The sequence below is a fragment of the Homo sapiens genome, chromosome 22, assembly GCF_000001405.40.
Source record: "Homo sapiens chromosome 22, GRCh38.p14 Primary Assembly".
Lineage (NCBI taxonomy): Eukaryota > Metazoa > Chordata > Mammalia > Primates > Hominidae > Homo > Homo sapiens.
This window is the reverse complement of record NC_000022.11, coordinates 49,234,928-49,249,208: the sequence shown is the minus strand read 5'-3', so window position 1 is coordinate 49,249,208 and position 14,281 is coordinate 49,234,928. Positions and strand designations below refer to the sequence as shown.

The window sequence follows — 14,281 nt, the reverse complement described above, 5'->3', positions numbered from 1 at the left end:
TCTATGACAACCTTAAAATTCACATCAAACTCAGTGGGGGGAAAGACTGAATGATTTTCTCCTAAAAACGAGACAAGAATGCTGCTCTCATCATTTATCATCAACATTGACCTGGTGGTCCCAACCACTACAATAAGGCAAGAGTACACACACACACACACACACACACACACACACACACACACACAGGATCTATCTAGATTTGAAAAAAAGAAGTAACACCATCATTATTCAGAGGACATGATAGTCTATTTTAAAAATCCATTAAAACCTACATAAAACTCGCTGGAAGTAATAGCAAGTTTAGCATTATTGCCGACACAAGATTAATATACAAAGATCAATTATATTTTTATGTAATTGCAACAAAAATCCAGAAAATATGAAAAAATACTGTTTACAATAGTATCAAATAATGAAGTATCATGGGAAAAATTGACAGCAGATGTATAAGACCAATACACTGAAAACTATAAAGTGTTGCTCGGAGAAATAGAAGAACGGAAGGAAGAGAATGAGTTTGTGGATCAGACAACTCACAACTGAGGATGTCAAATTTCCTAAATTGATCTATAGATTCAAGACAATCTCAATGAAAATCACGTGCATTTTTGTTGCAACTGACAAGCTGATTCTAAAATTTATATAAAAATACAAAGGACCTAGAATAACTCATACAGCTTTGAACAAAAGAACAAAGTTGGAAGACTTACACTACCTGCTTCATGACTGATAAGATACAGCAATCGAGACAGGGTGATTTGGTTTGGAAACGGACAAATACATGAATGGGATGGAATAGAAGGTCCAGAAATAGATCCATACTTGTATGAACAGCTGATTTTGACAAAGTTGCAAAAGCAATTCAGAAAAAAAAAAGATAGTCTTTCAACATATGGTGCTGGAACATTTGGATATACATATGCAAAAAAAAATGAACTTCGATCCATATCACTCACTATATGCAAAATTTAATTCAAAATGGGTCATAGTCCTAAATAGAAAATCTAAATTCTCAAACTTCTGGAAGCTTACATAGGAAAAAAAATTTTTGTGACCTTGGTTTAAGCAAGTAATTCATAGATACGCTACCAAAAAGTAAAATCCATCAAAGAAAAAATTCATAAATTGAACTTCATTAAAATTAAAAACTTCTGGTTCAAAAGATTATTAATAGAGTGAAAAGACAAGTCGTAGATAGAAAGAAAGTATTTTTCAAGCATAAATTTGATGAAGAAATTGTATCCAGAATTTAAAAGGAACTCTCACAAAGCTCAGTAAGAAAATAACAACCCATTAAAAAATGGGCAAAATATTTAAATAAACCATGCACCGTAAAACACACATGGATAGCAAATAAGTGCATGAAAAGATGTTCAACATCATTGGCCACGAGGGCAATGCAGATTAAACCACACGAGATACCACTACACCTCAATCAGAACGGCTGAGAAAGACGGCGCCCACCCATATCCAGGAACGGGGGCAGCCGGAAGGAGTGGAGCCCTGGCGGAGTGGAACCCCGTTACAGTACTGTGTGGCCATTTCTCAAAATAGGTTAATGGAGTCTATAATCCCAAAGCATCTACTGAAATCCTCTTGTATTAGGAGCAACTCTCTTCTTCCAGGCTCGACATGAGCGGAAAAGAGTTCGTCAACAAAGTTCAGTTGGATCCTTGGGCATCCACGGGAAGATATTCGCAACAATAACACCAAGTGGCCGGAGAGCACAGGAGGGGGCTGTCCCCCAACCTGGCCTCCTGGAGCCCTTTTGGTCAACTCTGGTGTTGCACTTTTTCCTGTGTAACTCTGACTTGAGAAATATGCCCACCTGGTGGGGCTCTCTCATGGCCCAAGGACAATCTCACAGCCTACACGAATCCTGTGGAATGAGATGCTCTAGGAAAACCCTCCAGAGTCTGAAGCCTTGTCACCTGGGAACTGAGTCCAGAGTGAAGGAAACGCCTCCAGGAACCATCTTTCCTATTCCCCAGCAAACTCCTTTTCAGAGGCAGTTAATTCGGGCTCATCTCAATGCATAAAATGCTTTGTTGAGTTGAGGCAATCACATCTGTCTGCACTAGTTTATCCCTTCTTGAAACATTTATCAACATAAAACGCAAACTTAAATGCAAATTATCTTCCATCCTCTCTTTCACATGGTGCTCAAAGGTGATAAAACGATGAGTTCATGGGGGTTTTTTGACTCAGAAAAACGTTGCACTCCTGAGTATCTATTTCTTGAATTTAGTATCTTCAAGTTCCTAATTAACATAAGACTTTTTGCAGTTCAGTAAAGATAATCAAAACGATGTCTGTTTAAACCAAGAACACTTTCTCTTTCTCAGTCAACCATAATTTGATCAGATTTCAGAGAGGGTTTTTTTTTTTGTCCATACTTGTGGAAATGTGAAATAACTAAGCAGTTAAAATTCATGATCTACACTTTTGTGTCATTATTATTGCATTAGCATGAAATTATACTTCTAGTTAGTCATAATTATACTCATAATTATTCAATTTATCACTATAGGTCCTCCTGGAAGTTTTATTGGAGGATTTATTAACATTAATAAATTGTTTTTCTTAATCTCCATATTATGAATTCTTCTCATGTGTGATATGATCTATTACCCATAAAATTATAACAAACCCCAAGCATTGGTGGCTGCCCAGAAATGGGAAGGAAACCTTTTGTCAGCTCATCTGGGATGTGACTCAACTGCCAATGTCAGCGGGGAATAGCTTTGTGCCACCAGAGCTTGCTGCCATTAGAAGGCTCTCCAAGAAAAAACTCACAGTGGATGAAAATGAAATATTTTTCTTCCAGGCCATTCCCATCCAGCCAGTACAGCCCTGATGCTGGAGCCATTCTCTGCAGCTCACAACTTGGCATGGATTGGACGTAACATCTGGCCAGCTGGGCCCTTCCTTCTTCTGGCACACGGTCACGTTCATATCTCTGCTGAGGCTCTTTGGCCACTTGGTATTACTTTGAAACTCCTCTCCTGGAGATAGAGTCTCATTTTCATGAATTTGGTATTCCTTTTAAACTCTCCTCCTAGAGGCAGATTCTCATTTTCATGAATTCATCACTTGCTACTGACCACCTACCATCCTCTCTCTGTCTCTGAACTTGTACAGTATCCTCCTGCCTTTCTGTTCAAAGGCTTTCACGTGTGAACTTAGGGGAGTAACAACATCACTCCCCCAAGTTCATATGTTCATGTGCTCTATCACAGAGCTTCAGGATGTTTGATATTCCTGGTGGGTGTTATGGACGAAATGTTGTTACTGCCCAAAGTTCACATGTTAAAGCCTAATCCCCAGTTTGACTGTATTTGGAGAAGGGGCCTTCAAACATGTATTTAGGTTAAATGAGATTGTAACGGCAAAGCCCTGATTTAACAGGATTAGTGTCCCAACAAGAGACACAAGAGAGCTCCCCCTCTATCCACCATGTGAGGACACAGCCAGAAGGTGGCCGTCTGCAAACCAAATGGAGAGCCCTCACCAGGTACCCACCCTGCTGACACTTTGATCTCGGACTTCTGGCCTCCAGAACGTGAGGAAATTAATTCCTGTTGTTTAGGCCTCCCAGTCTGTTGAGCTTTTGTTATGGCAGCCCAGGCAGGCTAACATGGTGAGGGGCTGGATGATATTTACTTTAAACATGGTGCACCATGCTCTGCACTGGTAATGCACAGGGGTTGTCTTATGCAAAGTGGTTTACATGGGACATGTTGTTTGATCTTCACAGCATGCCTGTGGGGTAGGGTTTATTATTATCATCCCCTTTCACAGGTAAGACTACTGAGGTGAGTGGAAGGTAACCTGGGCAGCGAGTGGACATTCAGGTCACCCGCATTCTCCCATGCTGTGTGTAGGTTTTCATCTGAGCATCCTCATGGGAGCCCTTGTTCCCCTGAGATGGGGGCTGAGCTGGTCTCCTGGGCCTGGCTGATGCCCGGCTCACAGAGCCAATGCCAGATGCACCCATAGATTATGAACGAAGGGAGCAAGGTGTGCGGGGCTGGGGTGCCGGCCACCTCCTCTGGGGCGCACCATCATCATTGGCTGCTCCCTGTGTCTGTGACCTTGAGCAACTATGGGGTCTTTCCCCACAAGACAGGAAGCCAAGGAATCCCCCCTCCATCAACCCCAACCCTGCAGCAAGTGCTTCCGGTTACCAAATCCAACTCAAAATCCACACGATGTGGCACATCCTGCATTAGACGCCGAAATCCCAGCAACACATAACAGCTTCTGATCCCAGGAAACCACAGCTGTCTACAGGAGAGCCCAGCCAGGTGAGCCCAGGTGTGAGGCACACAAAAGGCAGCCATAAGACAGTCCGCAGGCAGGCGTAATTTGGAGGCTGAGGGGCCCTGCAGTCTGACTGGGTTCTCAGGAATCATGAATTCTCACAGGACAGGGCTTCTCACCTTTGCTGCTCTCTCCCAGCCATTACCACCTGGCGAAGGGTGCAGAGAGGTGCCCCTCAGTGTCCTGGGTGTGGCAGCTCTGGGATGGGGACACGCCTCCTGCCCTGCTCCAGTCACTGCCCCCAGGCCCTGCTGGAGGACCGAGGGGTCTGAGGCTCTATCAATCTTGGGTCAGTGCCAGTCCTGGGACCCCTTTGGCCAGTGGCCACCTCAGGATGCTATGTTCACTCCTTGGGAAATTAGTTCCTAATTCATTCTGCTGTAGGGCTAGTGTCACACTGCATTTATTTACATAGCTGCAGGATGAGGAGATAAATGAAAATAATGAATATCCATTAAACAAGATTCATAATGAAGCACACCTCAGTCCTCCTGGGCTCTGCTCTCCCTCGAGGCGCAGCTCCTGCCCAGGGAGGGTGGTTTCATGGCTTCCGTCTGCAGCAAACAAACACTCCATGCACAGTGGGGGGTTCCGAAGGTGCTGACCCCCACTGAGGCAGCCCAGAGACCTGCAAGAAGAACCCTGTGCAGGGTCCTGCTCGGGGCCCAGGCTCCGGCTGGCTCTGCTCATCGGGTCTTAAAGCCCAATGCATCACAGGGGAGTGGTCAGAGGCCTGGGGGAAGCCTGGCCTCTGGGGGCTGGCCGGTTTGTCCCTGTTTGACCCAGGCCCAGGGTTGGGTCACTGTGGATGGGGCTGTGGGTTTTCAGGAAGATTTTGGTGGATGGTGCAGCAAGCTTCCTATGGCTCTCTTCCCTAGCATAAGCAGTAGTCCTGAGGCCAGGACTGGGGAGCGAGGGGTTGGTCTCCAGCAGGACCCTGACTTGGGCCCTGTCTATCCAGCCCAGCCACCCCCTGGTGCCCACCTGGTAGGTGCACAGGGCTCAGGACCACTTGGGACTCTGGGTGTGTGCAAGGACAGAGCTCTTTGTTCTCGTTGGTCTGGGCAGTCTGGGCATAGACACGAATGGCAGGGAGGGGTCTGAGGAAGAGAAAATCACTGTGACCAGCACAGTCCATGCTCATCATTTGCAGGAGCTGTTCTGAAGTGGCTGCAGACACTGAGTGGGTGAATGCTGAACTCCCAGGGGGCATGGACCGGAGGTTCCTTAGAGCCTCTGGTCGCATTTGCATCAATAAACCAGCCCATGGCCTGGTTTTGTGTGCTTCTGCTGTAGACACCTCATTGGAAAATATGTTGTTGAATCATGAACACTGCACTCAGGGACAGCAGCTCTGGACCAGGCCTGAGCGAGGTGTACTCAAGACACAGTGAACAGCATGGGCTGGGGCACTGAGTGCTGCGTTTATGTGGCTACTCAAGTATTCATCCATTCATTTATTTATCCATCCATCCATCCATCCATCCAACCATCCATCTGTCCATCCATCCATCCATCCGTCCATCCATCCATCTGTCCATCCATCCATCCATCCTTCCTTCCATCCATTTATCCCTCCATCCATCTATCTATCCATCCATTCATTCATTCGTCCATCCATTCATCTACACACCCACTCATCCATCCATTCATCTACACACCCACCCATCCATCCATCCATCCATCCATCCATCCATCCATCCATCCATCCGTCCATCCATCCATGTGTCCATCCATCCATCCATCCATCCATCCATCCATCCATCCATCCATCCATCCATCCATCCATCCATCCATCCATCCATCCATCCATCCATCCATCCATCCTTCCTTCCTTCCATCCATTTATCCATCCATCCATCTATCCATCCATCCATCCATCCATCCATCCATCCATCCATCCATCTACACACCCGCCCATCCATCCATCCATCCATCCATCCATCCATCCATCCATCCATCCATCCATCTACACACCTGCTCATCCATCCATCCATCCATCCATCCATCCATCCATCCATCCATTCATTTAATGCCATTGGCCCAGTCATGTGCCAGGCCACAGTGACAGTGGAGAGTCACTGTGGAGACAGTGGAGAGAGAGTGGAGGACAGAGAGCCCCTGTTTCTGGCACCTCACAGCCCAGGGGAGATGGACTCCCACTGATGCTGTGTAACCAAAAGTGAGGACACAGCTTGACATGAAAGAGACCTTCATACAAAGTAACTTGGCTTGGGCTGGCAGCTGAGTCATGCCTTCCTGGGCTATGACTGCCCCCACAACCGATGGAGACCTAAACCCAGTGGGTGCGGAACTAGCAGCTGTGTAGCTACAGTTTCCTTCTTCCCTGGGGAGAGATGCCTTCGATGTGAATTATAAATGGACAGGTCAGTGGAGTCTGACTCGGAGCTACTGTGTTTTAAATACAGAGCTTTTTATTCATTTCCAAAGTGCAGGGTCTGCTCACCCCATAAAGACAAAGGTAAATAAACTGCTTTGCCTTACAAAAATGGCTCCACCATATTCATTACGTGATTAATTTAATGCTCTGATTTACAGTTGTCTACAAATTGCAAATTGCTTTAAAATACATCCTAAATTGAAAATGCATTTAAAATATGAATTCATTATCGTGGATCAGGGCAATATCACCCCAGCTCCACTTAACAAGCCGAGCTGGCCTCCTGACGGTGGGTTTGCTGGCTAATGTGAGTACAGACCTGATGTCAGCTACAGCCGCCCTGACTTCCAGGCTCATCTCTGCGTCTTCCATGAAGAATTGAAAGGTTTTTACGTGTGATTGTCGAGAGATGGGTGGCATTCATTACTTTTTACTTAATTTTTTTCTAAATATGGAAAGTGAGGGGCGGATCACTTTTAAATTATATTCTTACATGATAAACCAGCAGCCCAGAAGTACGCGGAGGCGACGTAATTGAGTGGAGATGAAAGCATGATCGCAGAAGTGATGACCAGCAGGCACCTATTTTGGGCCTGACGCGGGAGCGGCCGAAATGGAGGGCTCCATTTCACAGAGAACCGCCCCCCATTATCGTCTTTGTAAAAAATGGGCTAATTTGGGGACGGAGTCCGTGACCATTACACCGTGGACATCGCTGTGGCTGTCAGTGCCCTGGCCCGGCTGGATGAGGAGTTTCTATTTCTATCCTCCTGCGCACCTCCAGCTTATGGCGCGACAGACAGCTCTCCCGGTGACCGGAAACCTAGGGGCACAGGGACCCCGACTTGGACAGAGCTAGCGTCGTGTGAAGCTCAGTGACCTCCTGGGAAGGGGCTGGAGTCACGAGAAGCTCTGGTGACCTCCTGAGAAGGAGCCGGCATCGTGCAAAGCTCAGTGACCTCCTCGGAAGGAGCTGGAGTCGCGAGAAGCTCAGTGACCTCCTGGGAAGGGGCCAGCATCGTGCAAAGCTCAGTGACCTCCTGGGAAGGGGCCGGTGTTGCGAGAAGCTCTGGTCACCTCCTGGGAAGGGGCTGGTGTCGTGCAAAGCTCAGTAACCTCCAGGGGTGGGGACGGAGTTGCGAGGAGCTCAGTGACTTCCTGGGAAGGGGCCGGCACCACCCAAGCATTATGCTTCAATGTGATCAAGTCCGAGGAGAAAATAAAAAGAAAAACTCACATTTCTCTCCCAAAACCAGGCCTTTCAGGGCCTCCATCACCTAAAAGAAAAGGGAAGAATTGCGACCGTTACAGAAAAGAGAGTTCCCACACCATAAAAGCGCATTTCCTTTAATTAGTCCATAATGGTTTTGGCCAAGAAAACCCCAAAACAAACAAACAAAAACCACAAAATCCCTTTTGCCTGGAACTCTCTGCATTTTCACCGGAATTTCTCCTGGACAACATAGTATCCCGTTGTCTAAAGTAAGAGTATAAGAATTCTCAATCCGTAAGCTATAGAATGATATCAGCTGGAAAGAGCGTTGTAGGAAAGTGAACAACATGGAGAGATGATGGAACGCAATGACACTGATCTGTGAGCTAAATCTTCCAGTGCTGTTAGTCCTATCAGTGCCACCTGCACAGGGCTGAACACGGAGCTGCAAAGTAGAAGTGAATAAAACGGGGTGTCATGGCCGGGAGACATCACGGTGCAGCCCGGGGCGGCTGCTGTGCCCAGGAGGCTGTGCACTTGTCCTGTTAAAGAACCACAGCTCCCACCGGCACTGTCTCCCCCTGGGCTGGCTGTGGAGGCAGAGGGAGGGCTGAGCCTCCACCATTCCTGTTCTTTGTGGAGACGTGAGGCTGGGCCCGGGAGTTGGGGTGCCATGAAGGGGCCACACCTTCGGGTCCGTGTCCCCAGTTGGGTCCCTCCTGGGTGGTTTGGCCACCCAAGGATGCTGCTCACATGGGTCCCATCAATTCCTCAAGCTTTCCTGAGCCCCTTCCGAGTGCAGGCCCTGGGGGGCAGAGACAGACCAGTGGGCTGGGACTCTCACAGGCAGCTCCTGCCCATGCTGAAGGCGAGATAGGCTCAAAATGACACTGAAGCCCCTGGCATTGCTCCCCAGAGCTCCCTGCTTTATCTCGGTTTCCCAAGCTGATGAGAATCTCATCCTTTGCACTGCTGCAGGGGAAGGGAATGTTGTGGGCTCCAAGCTCCTGGTGCCAGCGGCTCATGACGGTCCCGAGAGGCCGGCTGTGCTCTCGACCAGGCTTATCTCTCTCCACTGTCTCCAGGGAGCTGGGAGAGGCAGCAAAGCCATCCGTGTCTGAGACGTTAAGGCACATATCTGTGTGAAATGTGTGCAGGCACACATGTGAGTAGAGATGTATTACAGGAAATAGGCTCCTGCTGCCATGGAGGCAGGCAGCAGAAACCCGGGAAGAGCTGGTGCTTGGTTTCCAGTCTGAAGGCCGGAGAAGAGCAGGGTCCCAGGCTGGAGGTCTCCCCACGCTGGGCAGGGCCATCGGCCATACTCAGTCCCCCAGTTCAAATGTTAACTCCATCCACAGACAGCCTCGCAGGAATGCCCAGAATCTCACTTAACCAGATGCCTGGGCACCCTGTGGCCCAGTCCAGTGGACACGGGAAAGGAACCATCAGAGCCTGTAGCCCAGGGACCCTGGAGGGTGCAGGTGGGCCCTGCGTGTTCTTTTCTCTGCATTTCTTTGGTGTGTTTTTCTGCACTGTCTTCAGGGGTCTCTCAGGGAGGCCCCTTGCTAAGCATGGGCCTTCGAAAGCAGAGAGCGCCTTCTCAAGTTGGTGGAAGAAGATGAAGTCAGAACCTCACAGCATGAGAGGGACCTGACTCACCACCATGGGCTTCAGGGAGGGAGGGGACCCTGTGGCCAGGAATCCCGGCTGCCTTCAGGGGCAAAGCATGGCCTGGGGCCGACAGCCACCAGGGAAATGGGACCTGGGACCCACGGCTGCCAGGACCTGGGTCCACCACACCCCGAGTGAGCATGGAGCGGTTTCCTGCAGACCCTCCCGGCAAGGGCTCAGCCCGGCCCACACCTGGATTGGGGTTTGTGAGGCTGTAAGTTGAGAACCCAGCTGGGCCTGCCCGATTGCTGCCCTGCAGACTGTGAGATAAGGCGTGAGTGTCTGATCCACAGCAAGGAGGGCAAGGTCAGGGCCGGCCTGTACTCCCCCACCCCTCACAGACAAAATGAGGTTTCCAGAGTCCCCTGGAAGCACCACAGCCCCCTGAGCCTCACCGTTCCCGTCCGTGGCCCCCGGTGGTACCTCCTCATCCCCCTGTTGCAGCCTCAGACCCCCAACCTGGAAATGGTGCTGGGAAAGGCTCTGGGCTCCTTCCCACCCCGTCTGGCCTCATGGCGCACGGTCAAGCTGACCAGTGATTGCATTTTAAGGAATGCATGGTGTTTCCCATTAGCCATTTGTGAACCCCGTGCGTGGCTCAGAACGCGGGTGATTCATCACAGGCCTGGGAGTTGCTCTGGGAGTCAAGGGAGCCGGGGCGTTTGGAGCGGTGGGGAGTTGGACGGTTCTCGGAGGCGCAGGCGTGGCAGGCAGCCTCTGTTTCTGTGATTCATGGATGGGCTCTGTCCAGCAAAGGGGCGAAGGCGCCAGGCCCTGTTGTTTGGGCGTGGAAACTGTTCCTCTCCTGGAGCACTGTGTCAACTTCCAGGGTCCACAGCACCAGGAGCTGCCCAACTCCCAAGTTGCTAATGTCACCTCCCTCTTTGTTGCCTGCCCCCAGGCATGCCCTGTGGGGACTGGAGTGTGATCTTCTTACTGAAGGGAGAACTGGGCACTTGAAGCTCTGCAGTGGGCTTTGGCACGAACTGTGGTCTGGTGCCTGGATGGTTCTTAGGCCTCTCTGAGGGACACTTGGTCTGGCCCCATGGCTGGGTCTCCATGTCATCTCCCCAGAAAGCCTGGCCAATCCTTGGTGGCAGGAACGCCCTGTTCTCCTTTGTGTGCCTCTTTCTGGGAGCCAAAAGCAGAAAGCGTCTGAAGAGCGTGGCCTGGGCTGCAACGCCCTGAGAAGCACCTTCAGCTCCTCCACGTCCCATTTCGTGGAGCCTCAGTTTCCTCACCTGGGAGACGTGAGGGACAGTTCTCCTGACTCTCCTGGCCTTTAGGGGACCACTCTGGGACTCAGGGGGGCTCCTGTGAGGCACACAGAATGTGTCCCCTGGTGGGAGGATGGGCCAGGACCTTCCTAGAACCCACAGCTGGAAGGCTGGGCAGAGCAGCTCCCAGGCACCTGCCGTGTAGGAAGTGAATTTGAGTCTTGTGTGGGCATAAGCTCCCTATGGCCTTTATCCATTTGAAGGTGACAATCCCCCTTTCTAATAAAATGATGCTTAGAGCCCTCCAGGGCCCACACCCTCTTCAGTTTCAGGAAGTCCAGGCCAGTTACACAGAGTTCTGACATTTGGGTCTCTAAGAAAAATATCCTCAAAAACTAGCCTCGAGTCGGAGCACAGCCCCAACTCAGCCACGAGCTCCACTTATGGTCTTCGGGCTCCTTGGTGAGGTGCCAGGGGCTCCAAGACCAGGTCAGGAAAACGGTGGGGGCTGCTGGACCGTGGGGGCCCTGGGACCCCCCTCCACATTGCAGTCAATCCCTTCCCCTGAGGCTGTTAAGAATACCTTGCTGCCTCCTCCCTCAGAAACCTCTCCATAGAGGGCAGGAGGCTGGCTGGTGAAGAAGACAGAGCAGGCGGATTCTAGAAGCAGTGAGGATGGTTGCTGGGAGGGAGGGAGGGAGGGAGAGAGGGAGGGAGGGGAGGGAGAGGATCTGAAACTCAGGCACAAAACTTTAGAATGAATACTAAGGATACAGAGCCCAGTCTCCCCCAGGGAGCCTGCATTCACCAATGTGGACTAAGACACTTCATTCATTCATTCATTCATTCATTCATTCAGCGAATACTGTTTCCCACATTCTCTTAACTGATGGATGTTGGTGTGTGAAAATCTTCTTTGTGTATCAGCATAATTGCCAGTCCTACAAAATGGATGGGGCTAAGTGGCCCCTCCCCTGGCATGAAACTGTCCTGGTTACTGTTAGTGTCAAGGACCAGTAGTCTGCTTTAGTGACTGCCGCCCACATTCACACACCAGCTGACTTGTTCCTCACAGCGTCTTCTCCTTGCAGTTTACAAAGTAGAAGAGCCAGCCTGGGAGGCGCCCTGTGAACGCCTGACAGGGCCGGCCCCACTAGTCCCATTTGCCCAGTGTTCCTGGCTCTCTGCCTTAACTTTAGAAATTATCAAAAATGTTCCTAAAACCTATCAGATAAAAATATACCTGCCTCGCTTTTTGTGCAGGGAGGCCGGCCGGAGTCTCTGCTGGGCCCTGTGCAGGGAGGCTGGCTGGAATCTCTGCTGGGCCCTGTGGTGACTGCCTCTGGGGGTCTCAGCTATGGCCCCTGACTATCCCACAAGACAGCCCACAGCTGCTTTGGAGGGGTCCTGGGAGCACCCGTGAGCCCTGAGATTTGGGGAACTGGAAATCTCTAGGGGGTGGGATGTGGCCCCAGTGATCCTGGAGCTGGGACGCCATGGTGCACCCTCACGAAAGCACGAGCTGGACCCAGTGCTAAACCTGAAGCCAAGTCCCACAGACAGACTCAATGGACAGAGATGGCGTGGGCCCTCAACCCTGTGTCCTGGGGTCCGGGGAGGCAAATGGTGAGGGCAGGTAGGAACCGAGGATTGGAGGCTGGGGAGCACAAGAGGAAAAGAAGACAGCAGAGGCCCGAGGGCCAGGTGGCTGCAGGAGCATCCACACCTGGATCTCTTGGTTCTACCCAGGTGGCAGCACTCGCTGTGTGCCCTGTGAGTGGGTGTCGGGCCACAGACCTCCTGGTCTCCCAATCAGGACTCTGTGAATGCATCGATCTCAAAATTATTCAGGAAATAATTATATGTGTATTATGGAGTGAATTGTGCTCCCTAAGTTCCTATGTTGATGTCCTGACCTCCAGCGCCCCGGAATGGAACTGTATTTGGAGACGGGATCTTTAAAGAGGAAATTAAATTAAGATGAGATCCTTGGGGTGGGCTCTGCTTCCATCTGACTAGTGTCTGAATAGGAAGAGGAGACGAGGATGCAGATACACACAGAAGGACTCCCACATGAGGACACAGAGAGAATGCTGTCTACACGCTGAGGAGAGAGGCCTCGGAAGGAACCAACACCTGGACCTTGGACTCCCAGCCTCCAGCACTGTGAGGAAATAAGTGTCTGTTCTTGAAGCCTCCTGTCTGCAGTGCATTGTTGTGGCAGCTGAGCAAAGACAATGTGTAAACACCACCTTGGAGTCAGCCAATAAAAGGGACATTGCAAGGATGTCACATGGCTCCCCTTCCTGCTGTCCCTGGAGACTCCACCCACCTGCCCTTCTCAAGGAGCCAGGGCCTGCTTTATTCTCAATAGAGTCTCTGATTTGAAGGGTCCCCATGCTGGACGAAGCTCCCCCTGCTCTGGGGAAGGCCCAGGTGCCACTGCAGATGTGCAGATGGTGTGGTCCTGGGGCCCTGCGTGCAGCTCCATGACCCATCTGCGGGGAGGATGGGATCCTGTCACCCAGGAAGTCGAGTCCACATACAGAAGCAGTGAGCAGGAGCACAGAGCCAATGACAAGGCCGAACCCAAAGCCTGCACAGCTCCTGGTGGGTTTGAAAGAGGGGATTGGAAGGCTGGTATCCATGTAGGAGAGAAAGGAGAAGCACATCTGCACACCCAGCCTCCCCCGCGGGGCTGCCTCCGGCGAGCCAGCAATACCTCCTGGTAGGAGGCAGGCACCCCAGGGGAAGCTGCTGCCACACCTGCCTTCCTTCAAGGCAAACTGGTGAGACCCGCAAGGGGCCTGGGAAAGGGGAGCCCAGGGAGCCAGGTTCCAGGTCAGAAGGTAAGACCGACAGAAAGACCCTTGCCAGGATGGCTAACCAACCACTCCCCAAAGCTTGTGGGGGTGTGGAGGATGCAGCTTTGAATTTAGGAGAAAAATACAAAAGCCCAAAAAAGAACACAGGCTAGCAAATGGGCAAAAAAAGCATAAATACATGAATTCATGTATCATTGGGTTCTACTTAAAATATTACCGCAGGCTGAGATGAGGGGGAAAAATTAAGCCTATGCACAGAACCGTGCGGTTTCCTGGTGACCTGCCACTGTTGATCCTTCGGGCATGAGATTTCCATGCCTTTCATCAGACACTCCTACATTTTCATATGCACAGTCCTATAGCTGCCTCATTCACTCTTTGCTTCTCATTAAAACCCGTGCTTGGCTGGTTCTTCAGATAAGGTCTAATAAAAACAATATCTTAGTTTAACAGCTAATGGGCAGCAGGCATCAAAATCTGCTGGGCTCTCCTCTTCTCAGACACCAACTGGATATTTAATCAGAGAAGCATACAGGTGGTTTTGTCTCGGTCATACTGTCAGAAGAACGCAGAGAACCTGGTCCGTAACAGGGTTTAGAATGCATGCAGGTATTCAGAATTTGCA

General features: G+C 50.4%; 2 annotated features.

The window, feature by feature from the left end:
* Positions 7,123-7,622: an enhancer, noted in NCBI's record as "H3K4me1 hESC enhancer chr22:49637513-49638012 (GRCh37/hg19 assembly coordinates)". NCBI's record gives its function as "activates a minimal SCP1, AML or CMV promoter by ChIP-STARR-seq in naive H9 embryonic stem cells {active_cell/tissue: H9 hESC(naive)}" and the evidence as "EXISTENCE:reporter gene assay evidence [ECO:0000049][PMID:30033119]".
* Positions 7,623-8,124: an enhancer, noted in NCBI's record as "H3K4me1 hESC enhancer chr22:49637011-49637512 (GRCh37/hg19 assembly coordinates)". NCBI's record gives its function as "activates a minimal SCP1, AML or CMV promoter by ChIP-STARR-seq in naive H9 embryonic stem cells {active_cell/tissue: H9 hESC(naive)}" and the evidence as "EXISTENCE:reporter gene assay evidence [ECO:0000049][PMID:30033119]".